Genomic DNA, 14,117 nt, shown 5'->3' with positions numbered 1-14,117 from the left:
AGTTAAGAATGGCCAAATTACTGTGGTGTAGCCTGTGCACACACCCTCATGCTGCCTATTCATAGGCTTGGGTTTTAAGGGAAATATCTTGTGTAGAGGGAAAAGTTTCTTTTGCCCTCTAAACGTTTGCTGAAAATATAGAAAAAAAGACAAATTATACTAGAAACAGGCAAATACATTTATTTTGCATGCTTGGAAAAAAATCACAGAAGAGGGATTACCCAGATAACTCAGTGAGGTCTAGGTGCTTATATATCCTTCACAGGGGAGAGGGAAGTGGGGAGTGTCGGCAACCTAGGGAGAGTAAATGACTCAAGAAAAGAAATGGATCCTCAAAAGAATACGTAAAACCCTGCCTGGATGAAGTCAACTTCAAATTTCTTCTGGATTTAATTTCTAGTGCATGTTAATATTCTCTGGTAGAAAAACATTCCCAGAGAGGGTTTTAATGACAATTGGCTTGTTTCTGGAGGATCTGCCTTTAGGAAGATAAGGGCGATTTAGGAAAAGCCCTTTTGTGCATTTGCTCTTTTCTAAACAACTTCAGTTTGAAGTAGTCGCCCTACCAATGTAGCTTATCTTGAGATGTTACTTCCCAGATTCCTTCAGTTGCAACTGACCTGCCAGGAAACACCATTCTAGAGGGATACAGCTCCAGGTGGAAAGTACAGGTGCTTTTTTCTAAATGGTTGGAGCAGTCCCTCTCTGCATCCCATGCCTTTCCCTTTCATTGCGATTCTGCTGATTCCCCATGGCCATCTCTGCCCCTCACTGCTCTCTCTGAGAAAGGCAGCTCTGCCTGCACGCATGGCAGACCACGGGGCTTAGAATGAGCCTTCCCTTGGATGGTGCCATGATTTCACTGTGTCCCCTCAAGTCTATCTGCTGTTAACTTAATCCCCAATGCAAGAGAATTGAGAGGTGGGGTCTAATGGGAAGTGTTCAATCATGAGGGCTCTGCCCTTATGAATGTATTAATGCTACTATAAACAGAGCTTGTGTTATGGATCCACAAGGTATTTGACTGACTTTGTGCAGCAAAACCGGTTATCCATACTGAGTTTGCAGCAGAAGACAGGAAGGCAGGGCAGCTAGCAAAGAGGACCAGGCATCTAATGCTTAAGTCTTGACCTCCCTTATGCCTTACAGGTAAGGGTTTTTAAAAGCAGGGGTAAACTTCAGTAAATCAGAAGTTATAGACAAAATTGTAAATCAATAAATACATAGATAGAGGTCATGTAAGATATTACTAGTCAGGTGTCAATTTCAAATCAAATTCTTCATCTTGGAGTACTTACCCAAAAAGCTGGTAGAGACCAGATTACCAGGAGAACCTCAGCCCGATGACATTGAAGTTAGCCAAATGTCAAAAATCTGTTAAGATCCTGATTTTAGAATTCACCAGCTCCTCAGAAGTTTGGTGAAATATGAGTTATTCAGACTACACTCAGATCAAGTTAGCAGCTAGTCTGGTGTGACAACCTGTTTTTAATCAATGACTCAAAGCTGTGATCACCCTGATGTCAAATCAAATTCTTCAATATTTATTCTACATCTAACAAGTACATCACTAAAGACAGTGAGGTTTCATGCACGTTGCTTCTGTTACCAGTGCATGGTGGCCAGGTTCTTGGCATTTTGAGCAAAGAATTGGACAAAATGCACAAACAAAGCAAGGAAGGGATTTATTGAAAATGAAAGTACACTCCACAGTGTGGGAGAGGGCCTGAGTATAGGGGCTCAAGGGCCCCATTACAGAATTTTTTGGGGTTTAAATACCCTCTAGAGGATTCCATTGGTTACTTGGTATATGCCCCATGTAAATGAAGAGGAGGGAGTAAAGTTACAAAGTCATTTACTTGGTGTAAGCCCTATGGAGAGAATATTTCCTATCATAGCTGAAGTGTGAATCGGCCGTATGTTCCCTGCCTCCAGACCCTATTTTCTTGCCTCATTTCCATCATAGAAACTTCTACCTATCTTTTGCTGCATAGCATGAGAAAGATAAGCAAGATGACAATTGACTATAACACTCTTGTTCTGGGTTGTCCTGGAGCCCCATTTGTGTTATTGTCAACTCTTGGTATCCTAAGACTATGGCCACAGGTCTGAGTTCTAAGTTCCTTCTCACACCCACAGCCTTTCCCAGGAATCACTTTGGCTTCCTTCGTGCTGGGACCCAACCTCTTGCCACCCTCCCTGGAATCCAGCACTAACTACTTGGAAGCTTTTCTAAGAACCATTATTAGTTCATTGATTTTCAGTAGGCTGGAATTTCAATGCTTTCCAGGACAAAAAAGAGAGTGGTGATTCATGTGTCCCTGGGGTCATTAAGATGTTGTGGAACTTGTGGTTACCCAAGAACCTCTTACATTGGATGAGATGGGCTTATATATGACATGTGAAAATGAACCCATATTATTACTAAATATAATTTGATGGGACTGCAGAAAAAAGTTCATTTGTGGTTAATTAGTTGAAATGAGATTATGCTTTATAGATTATTTAGTAAATTTTTGGTAGAGAAAATCTCACATATACATATACATCCACAAACCATAACACATATATTGTATGTACACTCACAAATCATATATGAACTATTTAATGAATTTTCAGCGTGAACACACCTGAATGACCACCAACCATACCATGAAACATAACATTGGCAGTCCCCAAGTACCCACCTCCCTTCTTATAGTCCTGGGCAGAGAGCCCCCAAATCACACAGGTACCCTGTGCCCTCCTTTGAAACTGTTCCACTCTCAAGACCCTGGCATGCTGGGCCTATGATGGGAGTGGCAGCCTGGTAAATTTTCTTCAGGATCATTCTTACATTGTCTTCATGAATAGCATCTGCAGTTCTTAAATCCCTATGATTCTCTTTATCAAATGTTCACTTGGCCACATCCTTGATGTTCTCCCTCAGACAAGCTTTTTCATTCTTTATAATCTGGCCAGGCTGAGAGATTTTCAAAACTTTAAGTTCTGCTTCCCTTTTAATTATAAATTGTGTCTTTAATTCATCTCTTTATTCTCACCTTTTATTGTAAGCAGTCAAGAGAAGCCATGCTGCTTAGAGATTTCTTCTGCCAAACGTCCCACTTCATCACTCTTAGGTTCTGCCTTCCACAAAACACTGGGACACAAACACAATTCTGCCAAATTCTTTACCACTTTATGACAAGAAATGTCTTTCCACTAGTTTCCAATAGCATGTTCCTCATTCCCCTCCATTCCTCAAAATAATGTCCTTTATTGTCCATATTTCTGCCAACATTCTCTTCGCAACCATTAGACAGTCTCTAAGGAGACTGAGGCTTTCTCTACAGCTCTGCTCTTCCTCTAAGCCCTCACCAGAGTCACCCTTTGTGGTCTGTTCGTGGCAATACAGGCTTTGACAGCGCACACTTCCAAACTCTTCCAGCCTCTACCCATAGCCATTTCTACATTAGGGGTTGTGTAGGGGTTGTGAGAGCAGCACCCCACTTCTCAGTAGCAATTCCTGTCTTAGCCAATTCTTGCTGCTATAGCAAAATACTTAGACTGGGTAATTTACAAACAATAGAATTTTATTTCTCATAGTTCTGGAGATGAGAAGTCCAAGATCAAGGTACTGGAATATTTGGTGTCTGGTGAGGGCCTATTCCTCATAGATGCTCCCTTCTCTGCAGCCTCAGGTGGAAGAAATGCAAAAAATAATCTAGCAAGCTTTCTTGTGCACTTTTATTAGGGCACTTCTCTCATTCACGAAGCGAGACCCCCTCATGAACTAATTATCTCTTGAAGGCCCAACTCTTAATATTGCTTTAAGGATTAAGTTTCAACATGAAATTTGGAAGAACACAAACATTCAGGTCATAACTACTTTCTCTGTAACATAATTTGCAATTTTCTCTGTACATAATCTTTTTATTTATGAATCATGATAGTTTTAATTCTTTCTTTTCACTTCTCATTTTTTTGTTTTTTTGTTGTTGTTGCCTTGTTGCATGAAGCATGAGAAGTATGTCTTTTTAAGCACTCACTCTTATGAGTCTGATCAAATGTTGTTGACAATAAAATTGGTCTAAAAGCCTGCTGTGCAACTAAGTCTGAGAAAAATTTGGGAATTAAAATAAAGGAATCAAAATTAAGAAACATTAAAATAAAATAAGTTCAGAGTAAATTACTCCTCAGAACTTCAAAGTTTCCAAATAAAGGCAAAGATACTACAACTGAGGGGCCACTAAAGCAGCTACTCATGAAGGAAGCAGCTTGTTTGAGGGAAAAAAAAGTACCTATGGTGTTTTGAAAGGTTTTGTTTTATGTTGAATAACTGTGAAATTCCAACTACTATACAGATAAGAGTAATCAAGTGCAAAATCTTCAGGTTCCAGGTTACTGTTGGTGAGAGTAAAGTACATCCCAGATTCACAGCTACTGAGCCCCACTGGGATGTCAGTGGCCCTGGTGAATGCACCATGCTTGAGCAGCTGGGGATCCTGCCCAGGTTTCTGCTGGTCAGTCAGAGCAGCCAGTGCTCTGAATGATCCTGCAGATGAGGGAGGCTCTTTGCCCTGGAGACAAAGACAGAGAGGTGGGAGATTGGTCAACGTAATTTCTCCAGTATTCTGACATTGGAATAAAACAAACAAGTCACCTATATAAGCTGCATCAAACCCAGTGTCTTCCCAGTACAGCCAGAATCACTGCTACACTGAATTTTAATTAGGATCCTTGCTCAGCAGTGGTGCCAGGTCAGAGGAACCCACAAGGTTGAGAGAGTTTCACTGATATGCAGCACCATTTCCTTCTCCCCTCACCATGTCCCCCTCATTTGACACCCAGAGTAACAAGAGACAGAGAGGCTGAGCTGGGGCTTCCGTGGTTCCCTATGGGTCCTAACTGAGCAGCTCTTCCCCTGAGCTCTTATCCAGGCATTGATAAGGGTTCTGATCAGCAGGGCAACCGGGAGGGACATGCAAAGCAGCTGGGGCAGGCACTGGGCTTCCAGCTGCAGAGACCACCTGCCTCCTCCTGTCTGCACTGAGCAGCCCCTGCCCAGGTGGTCAGGTCGGGAAAGGCCATTGGCTCAGCCTGAGGGTAGAGCTTCCCTGTGGCTACAGAATTTAATCCCTGTCCTCCTGCCTCACCAGTCACCTACACTCAGCCAGATGGTGTTTTGCACAAGCATGTTGAGCAGAGGTCCCCAATCTTTTTGGCACCAGGGATCAGTTTTGTGAAAGACTATTTTTCCACAAACTGGGGGGTGGGGATGGTTTCCAGATGATTCAAGTGCATTACATTTATTGTGCACTTTATATATTTATTTATTTATTTATTTATTTATTGCGGCAGAGTCTCGCTCTGTCGCCCAGACTGGAGTGCAGTGGCGCGATCTCGGCTCACTGCCAGCTCCGCCTCCCGGGTTCACGCCATTCTCCTGCCTCAGCCTCCCGAGTAGCTGAGTTCAGGTCATCAGACATGCAAATCGACTCCAGGGAAACCTGTGCTTATTGGGCCCCGCTTCTGGAGAAACCCAGACTTGAATGACCAGCCCAACCACATTCTCCTCGCCCTTAGATCCAGAAGCAGCAGTTTTCCTGGACCCTCCAAGATGCGCTTCCTGGCCCTGCTCGTCTGCCTCCTGGTGCTGGGCTTTCAAGGTGAGTACATTTCCCACTGCAGACCATGCAGGGGCCTTAACCCTGGACACAGCGATAATGACCTCAGTGAGTTTTGGAAATTACATTGTGACGTGGTGAGGTGTTTTGCCTAACTCTCAGTAGGAAACTGAGGCACAGGTGTCCAGGGCTAACCAGGAGGCAGAGGTGTCCACAGCCGTGAATCTGTTATCAGCCACCCTGAGGACCACAGAGTCTCTGTCTATAAGATTTTAAGACAAAAAAAATGTGTCTTGCCACCAAAAAAAGGTCTTTTTTTTTTTAAAAAGTGCTTCTTGTTAGAAACACGCATGGGCAATTCTGAACAATATCAGATAAATATCAGATGAAATACTTCTTCCTACTGACCATTTCCACTGCTCACCATCCCCCAATGTCTCTTTATGTCACTAACCGCTTTACCTACATTTAGCCATTGGTGCTGGTGGTTGCTTGGCACCTGGGTCTCCACTCTGTGACCTCTACTAATAGGTTAGATGAGTTTACACTCCAAGCGGGAGGTGAAAGCTGCAAGGTCTGAGCTCTTGGGCACAGACTTCCTTTTACCACATTCTACTGGCCAAAACAAGGCCAGAGCCCAGCCTAGATCCAAGACATGGGGAAGTAGGTCCTCCATGGGAGAACCATCAGCAAGCCGGAGCCTGAAGATTTGGCACTTTATCACTTTATCAGTATAGCAGTGTGTGTCCCACAACGTTCATTCAGCATGAAACAAAACCTTTCCAAACACCATAGGTATTTTTTTTTTCTTTTGATCAAGCCAGCTGCTGCTTTTGTGGACAACTGCTTTGGTGACCCCTGGGTTTTTAACATTATTACCTCTCTTTGAAAATTTGGAAGTCGTAAGGAGTAAATTGCCGCAAACATTTTATTGTGATTCTTGATTTTTTCCTCAGACTCAGCTGCACAGCCAGGTTTCAGAACAATTTTATTGCCAACAACATTTGATCAGACTCACAGGTGTGGATGCTTGAAAAATATACTTCTCATGCCTCATGCAACAAGGAAATATCTCATTCTCCCCTTATAAATGAGATGAGCACCCTTATCAAAGTGCACAAAAAAGCCTGCTAGATTATTTTTTACATTTCTTCCATGTGAGGATGCAGAGAAGGGAGCATCTACAAGGAATAGGCCCTCACCAGACACCAAATATTCTAGTGCCTTGATATTGAACTTCCATCTCCAGACCTATGAGAAATAAAATTCTAACGTTTTTAAATTTCCCAGTCTAAGTATTTTGTTATAGCAGCAAGAATGGACTAAGACAGGAATTGCTACTAAGAAGTGTGGTGCTGCTGTCACAACTCCTAAAATGTGGAAGTGGCTATGGGTAGATGATGGAAGAGTTTGGAAGTGTGCGCTGGCAAAGCCTGTATTGCCACGAACAGACCACAAAGGGTGACTCTGGTGAGGGCTTAGAGGAAGAGCAGAGCTGTAGAGAAAGCCTCAGTCTCCTTAGAGACTGTCTAATGGATGAGAAGAGAATGTTGGCAGAAATATGGACAATAAAGGGCATTACTTTGGGGAATAGAGGTGAATGAGGAACACGCTACTGGAAAGTAGGGGAAAGACATTTCTTGTCATAAAGTGGTAAAGAACTTGGCAGAATTGTGTTTGTGTCCCAGTGTTTTGTAGAAGGCAGAACCTAAGAGTGATGAAATGGAATGTTTGGCAGAATAAATCTCTAAGCAAAGTGTTGAGGGTGCAACACGGCTTCTCTTGACTGCTTACCATAAAAGGTGACAAGAGAGATATGAATTAAAGAAAATCAAAAGGAAAGCAGAACTTAAAGACTGGAAAATTTCTCAGTCTCGCCAGATCGTGAAGAATGAAAAAGCTTTTTTGAGGGAGTACAACCAAGGATGTGGCCAAGTGAACTTTTGATACAGAAAATAGTGGGCATGTAAGGATGCCAGATACTATTCATCAAGACAATGAAGAATGTCCCTGAAGGCATTTAGGAGATTTATCAGGCTACCACTCCCATCACAGGCCTAGCATGCCAGGGTCTTGAGAGTGGAATGGTTTCAAAGGAGGGCACAGGGCACCAGTGTGAATTTAGGGCTCTCTGGCCAGGACTATAAGAAGGGAGATGGGTAATTGTGGACTGCCGATGTTCTGTTTCATGGTATGTTTGGTGGTCACCCATGTGTGTTCAGTCTGAAAAGTCATTAAGTTGTGCACTTATGACTTGTAAATGTACATACTATGAATATGTTATGTTTTTTATATGTGGGATTTACCCTACAAAAATATTAAATAAATTAATCTATAAAAGCATAATGTCATTTCAACTAATCAACTTCAAATGAATTTTTTAAAGATCTCATCAAATTATATTTCATAATATCATAGATTCATTTTCACATGTTAGGTATAAGTCCATCTCACCACATATAAGAGGTTCCACGTACAAGTTTCACAAAGTCTAAATGACCTCAGGGACACATGAATCACCACCCTGTCTTTCTGGTACTGCAAAAAATTGAAATTCCTATGTACTGAAAATGAATCGTACTTAACAATGATTCTTAGTGCCTCTAAATTTATGAAACAAATTAGGTAATATTCACAGAACAAGAACAATTTGCTTCAAAGTATTTTCTACCCCCAAGACTGCACTGAAGCCTCTGGCAATTTTACTCATTGAAAGGTGAAACTAAAACATAGTCTTTTTCCTACTTGCTATATCATTCATAGAAATGAGATGAGTAAAATTCAAGTAGATACGTGATGAGAGTTGTTCATCGTCATTCACCTTGAAGAAGAGCCTCACGGAGAATTCTGGTGACCCCATTTAAAGACAAACCTGTCAGTCACTAGTTCTAAAGTTGGATCATATCAATATTTGCAAACCTTTTCTCAGAACAATGGGTCCCAGGCACACCCAATAAATAGATCTTTTGCATACAGTCTTCATGTTTCTTGCCCAACTTCTCTTTGCTCTTAGAATCTTACGGTTAAAATGAGCCTCTTTCTGGTGATATAATTGATACACCATATGTTTCCTCAATTTAAATTGAACAATTTAATTGTGTTAGTATATTCACAGAGTTATGCAATAATCACATTGTGAAAGGAAAATAACCATGGGGCCCAAAAATCACTAAGCTGAAGGGATTAGTCAAGCTGGGAAATTCTTAGGGCCAATCTGCCTCCCATTCTATTCAAATCATCCCTCTGCTCACTGAGATTAATTCATATCTTATTGCCTCTTTGGAAGCGCTAATCAGAAATTCAAAAGAATGCAACTGTTTGTCTTACCTACCTCTGACCTGGAAGCCCCTTCCCTGCTTGAGTTGTCCCGCCTTTCTGGACGGAACCAATATACATCTTACATATATTGACTGACGTCTCATGTCTCCCTATAATGTGTAAAACCAAGCTGTGCCTCAACTACCTTGGGTACATGTCATTAGGACCAGAGGTTGTGTCACAGGCTCATTTCCTTAACCTTGGGAAAAAAAAACTTTCTAAATTAACTGAGACTTGTCTCAGATATTCGGGGTTTATAACATGAATCACTTACAGAACGTTTCCATCAGCCTTAAGAAACCCTGTGCCTATTAGAAGTCACTTGGATTTTGCCCAACTCCTCAGGCAAACAAGAGTCTACTTTCTACATTTTTAAAATTTGCCTCTTGTGGACATTTCTCATAAATACATTCAGACTACATGTAGTCTTTTGTGACTGGCTTAGTTCACCGACCAAAAGGTATGCCGAGTATTTCTATGTTGTCATGTCTGTGAGTACTTAATTTCTTTTTATGACCTAATAATATTCTATTGCATATACATACCATATTTTGCTTTTCCATGTATCAGTTAATGGATATTTGGTTTTTTTCTAGTTTTTGTCTCTTTGAGTATCACTGCTACGGGCATTCATACACTTTTTTGTGTAGACAAACGTTTTCATTTGGGGGTGTATAATCCTATAAGTGGAATTGCTGGATTATATGGCAATTGCATGTTTTACCATTTGAGAAACTGCCAGACCGTTTCCCAAAGTGGCCGTAACATTAGCCTGTGTAATAAGAAGAAAGAATCTCTTAGTGAATGAGTATTGAGAACAGCTGAAATATTTGAGGGTGTAAAAAATAAATCTGAGGTAGCTCAGAGACGCTCATTCATTACTCTTTTAATTTTTCCCGCTCTTCATAAATGAGGGTCTCCAATTTCTGCCTTGTAGATGCCAACTCACTCCCAGAGTTATTGAGAGGACGGTACAGGCTGAGAACCACACGGGGAAGTTGGGTCACAGAAGGAGGAATTTGCTCAAGACACAAGCTAGGAAAAACAAAACAAAATTAAAATGGGGAGCTGAATAAGGAAAAATGAGAACTTCCTGTGGGAGGAACAAGAAATTGAGAAGGAATGCCTTGTCTTTATGCTGTGTGCCTATCTTTAGGTTTCTGGGCTCCTAAACTTCTGGACAAGAACCCCCAATTTGAAGTTACTGGGACACTAATGTCTACTCCTTTTACTAGTTAACTGTTTCATTGGCTGTCGAAACTCCTCACATAAAGTAGAAGAACCTCAAGAAGGCAGATTTTTTTTTATGCCTGGTTGAATAAATCCCATGAATCTCATATAACAGGAAAAAATATTTTATTAATAAACAACCACTGTGAGTGAGTTCTAACCAAAACAAAGGGAAAATATACGAAGGATCAAAATGCAAAGAAAATACGTTTTGCACGCGCATCTACAGTCTTAAAGTAAACACAGGAAGTTGCCTTCAGGCCTGTGTCTCTGTTTCAGGAAACTCATCCTCCTGCTGAGAGGAAGACGTTGCAGCCTCCTCAGCCTCCATGGTGTTGATGGTGACAGTGAAATGAGTTCCAGATCCAGGGAGATGGAACCAGGTTGGGACCCCAAGACCAGGGTGGAAGCCCTTAACATCCTTACCATGTCTTGTGAGATATTTATTTACTGCCCTTCACAAATTGAGTTTAAAATATTTGCATTTTATTTTCCGCCAACTGTTCTGCTGTCAGACAGCATTTTTTATCATGGGGGAGAGAGAGCAATTAGTCCCTCCTGAACATCTGGTCAGTGGTTAGTCTGATGAGAGGAGTTTTGTTAAGAGAATATTAGTGCTTCAGTTGTCCTGATTTAACATGGATTCTCTTCCCTTGGGGAGTGAATACAGGTTTTACTCAGGCCTTCACAACAGTGTGGAATCCAGAAGTGTTGGTATTAATGCCACTGTGGTGTTTTTTATGATTTTGTTTTCACACTTTGTGTTTTTGTTTTACTCATATTTTAATATAGTTTATTTTATTTGTCTTAAATTTTCCTTTAAAGATAATCACGAAGAAAATGATATATGCATACTTTAATTTTATTAAGCCTACATGAATCTACAATTCTGTATTTCCAAAGTCAAGAAAAAATTGGTGATTAATTTTCACCATATACTTAATTAGCGTAACAGCAAAACTGCTCCTTTTATTGTCTTCACCCTGACTCTGCTTTATGTTTTTGCATAAGGAATGTTATCATTCTTATTTAGATTTTTTAGATTATAATTATGTGGTATCATATTACATACCTTATATTTCAAGAATTATTCCTATACAGTGACTTGCATTTGTAAGTGAATTTTCAACTGACTTAGATTCTTGGTTTAATCATTTCTACTAATCAAGCAAGATTCCTTCCAGCAAGATTGTTTTGTTTTGTTTTGTTTGTTACATTTCCTGGTTTGTTATAAAGCATGCAACTCAGGAAGTGCCTAACTGAAGAGATGCATATGGCAAGATGACGGGGTAGGTTGAGACGGGGTGAGATGGTGCAAAGCTTCCATGTCCTCTCTAGGCAGCCACCTGCCAGCACTTCAATGTGTTTACCAAACCCAAAGGTTTTACTAACAGCCTTTTATTTTTATTTTTTTATTTATTATTTTTATTTTTATTCTTGAGATGGAGTCTTGCTCTGTCTCCCAGGCTGGAGCACAGTGGCACCATCTTGGCTCACTGCAACCTTGACCTCCTGGGTTCAAACGATTCTCCTGCCTCAGCCTCCTAAGTAGCTGGGACTACAGGCACCCACCACCAAGACCGGCTAATTTTTGTATTTTTAGTAGAGACGGGATTTCACCATGTTGGCCAGGCTGGTCTCAAACTCCTGGCCTCAAGTGATGCACCTGCCTTGGCCTCCCAAAGTGCTGGGATTACAGGTGTGAGCCACTGCTCCCAGCCACCAACAGCCTTTTAAAATCACAAGGCACAGCTTCCTTTACTGGAGCATGCTGCTTAAACTCTTGATGAATCAAAATAAATCTTTCAAGATTTTCTATTTTTTTACATGGTCATGAAATTTATGTTGGTGTGTATTTTCAAAATTGCACATTTCCTTCATATTTGATCATTTCCTTAGTTCGCAAGCATGGGCATAATGACTTTTTGTGGTTATGTAGCTATCACTACATTGTTCTCTGGGAACAGAGTTTGTAAACTACATTGCTGAAGCAAGCCTGATTTTTATCTCTGAAGAAAGAACCTCCCTTAGATTTTGGTTTTTTATTGGATCCTGATTTTTTAACATGTAAAAATCACCTGTGTGTTTGCTACCTAATTTTGCCTAGATTTCCGAGTCTGTTAAATTTGCACTCATGAATATATAACAGAGGCATAAATATTTTAAATTATGTTTCTCTTTATCACCCCTGTTCTAATGACTAGTATATAGGGAAATATTTCCTTATTGGGCTTGACTTTCAATCCTGTTTTTCTGTCTGTTTCACTCTTTCTTTTCTTTATTTAATCTCATATACCTCTACTTCATGAACTGAGACTGTTCTTCCAACTTTTATATTACTTATTTGCTCATTGGCAGGGCCAGTTCTGGTTGCTATGGTCCCGCCCCTTAGTTGCTTTTTTAAACAAGTACATTTAGATTTTTATTTTCTCATGTATCAGCAGTGTTGATAGATTACCTTTTCACTCGTTACATCTGAGTGAAATGAGTATGAAGAAATATGTTCGTTCCATTTTCATCCGGGTCCTGATATTTTTTCTTCATTCTATTGATTACATAAAATATTTTGTAGAAATTTTCTTTGAAAATTGGCAGGGTATTTAATTTTGTTTTTTTCTCTCTAATCTTTTAAAAATCAAGCAATTACATTTGTTTATTTCAATTAATAATACTCAACAATGATAATCTGTTAATTATAACGTCTTGATCATGACGCAGTTTCATCTATGGCTATTTGTTGTTTATTTATTCGAAACTCAGTCATTCATTTGGTGATTAGTAGCAATGTGATAAGCTCCTGTGACTCTAACTCACAAAATGCAAGTTGGGGCAATAACTTATATCTCATTTGAGGTTATCCACAATCGCACATTCCTATCTCCTAATGCAGTTTATTTCTTTTATATGTATGTATCAAATAACATTTTGTCATTTATTTCTTTAAAGCTACAAAAATATGTTAATGCAAACTAATTTATTAGTCTTTTCTTTCATGCTTAGTGCTTTGCATATTCTCTTCAAGAAATCTTTCCTACATGCATATTCATGAAATATCTTTTTATACTATTTTCTAAAAGCTTTCTTCTTTTGCCTTTCACATTTCAGTTTCTAATTTAGAGTTGATATTTGTATCAGTGTAGAAGTAAAATGAAGAGGTTAAGATTTATTTTGATGTAATATGGATATCTAATTGATCCAATATAATTCAGTTATTAGAATTTTTTTCTACTACATCACTGCTATGGCCTGAATGTCTGCGTCACCTCCAAAGTTCCTGTTAAAACTGAATCTCAAGGCAACAGTATTAGAAAGTAGACCCTTTGGGAGGTGATTAGGTCATGAGGGCTCAGCACTGGTGAGTGAGATTCCTGTCTAATAAGGTGGCTTTACACAGACTTGCCACTTTTGCCTTTCCACCTCCAACATGTGACAACACAGCCACAGGGTGCAATCTTGGAAGCAGGAACAGTCCTCACCAGACACTGAGATTGCCAGCATGTTGACCTTGGAATTCACAGCCTTTATAACCATGAAAAAAATAAATTTATGTTGTTTGTAATTATCCAATCTAAAGTGTTTATTTTTTTTTGTACAAATGGTTTGAGACAATTGCTGTAGCACTTTTATTGTAAATTGAGTGACTATATATACATGCAGATCTGGTTTTAGATTCTCTGACTCATTGCACAGGGTTATCTGTCTCAGCCTTCACCGATACCATACTGTTTTCATTCCTGTTGCTTAATATAAGCTTCAATACTGGGAAGTGTTAATCTTCCAATCTTGTTCTTATTATGTAAGATTACCATGGTTGTTTTTTTGTTTTTTTTTTGTTGTTGTTGTTGTTTTCTGCCTCTTCGAATGCCCATCTAAGTTAGAAACAGCTTTTAAATTTCAACAAAATTCACAGGATTTTGATTGTCACAGTATTCAATTAATTTGGAGAGAGTTATTATATTGACA

General features: G+C 39.8%; 1 long non-coding RNA gene and 1 pseudogene across 1 annotated transcript, besides 1 other annotated feature; both read left to right on the top strand.

The window, feature by feature from the left end:
- Positions 1,184-1,720, top strand: UBE3AP1 (ubiquitin protein ligase E3A pseudogene 1; annotated as a pseudogene).
- Positions 5,227-5,727: an enhancer, noted in NCBI's record as "H3K4me1 hESC enhancer chr2:98025423-98025923 (GRCh37/hg19 assembly coordinates)". NCBI's record gives its function as "activates a minimal SCP1, AML or CMV promoter by ChIP-STARR-seq in naive H9 embryonic stem cells {active_cell/tissue: H9 hESC(naive)}" and the evidence as "EXISTENCE:reporter gene assay evidence [ECO:0000049][PMID:30033119]".
- On the top strand, positions 5,453-13,716 carry LOC124907860 (uncharacterized). Its single transcript, XR_007087144.1, has 2 exons — positions 5,453-5,648; positions 10,434-13,716. It is a non-coding gene; the product is annotated as an uncharacterized LOC124907860 (long non-coding RNA).
- Positions 13,717-14,117: the final 401 nt, after the last annotated feature.

Source organism: Homo sapiens, chromosome 2, assembly GCF_000001405.40.
Source record: "Homo sapiens chromosome 2, GRCh38.p14 Primary Assembly".
Taxonomy (NCBI): Eukaryota; Metazoa; Chordata; class Mammalia; order Primates; family Hominidae; genus Homo; species Homo sapiens.
The sequence above is the reverse complement of the archived record's forward strand: the minus strand, read 5'-3'. Positions and strand labels throughout refer to the sequence as shown.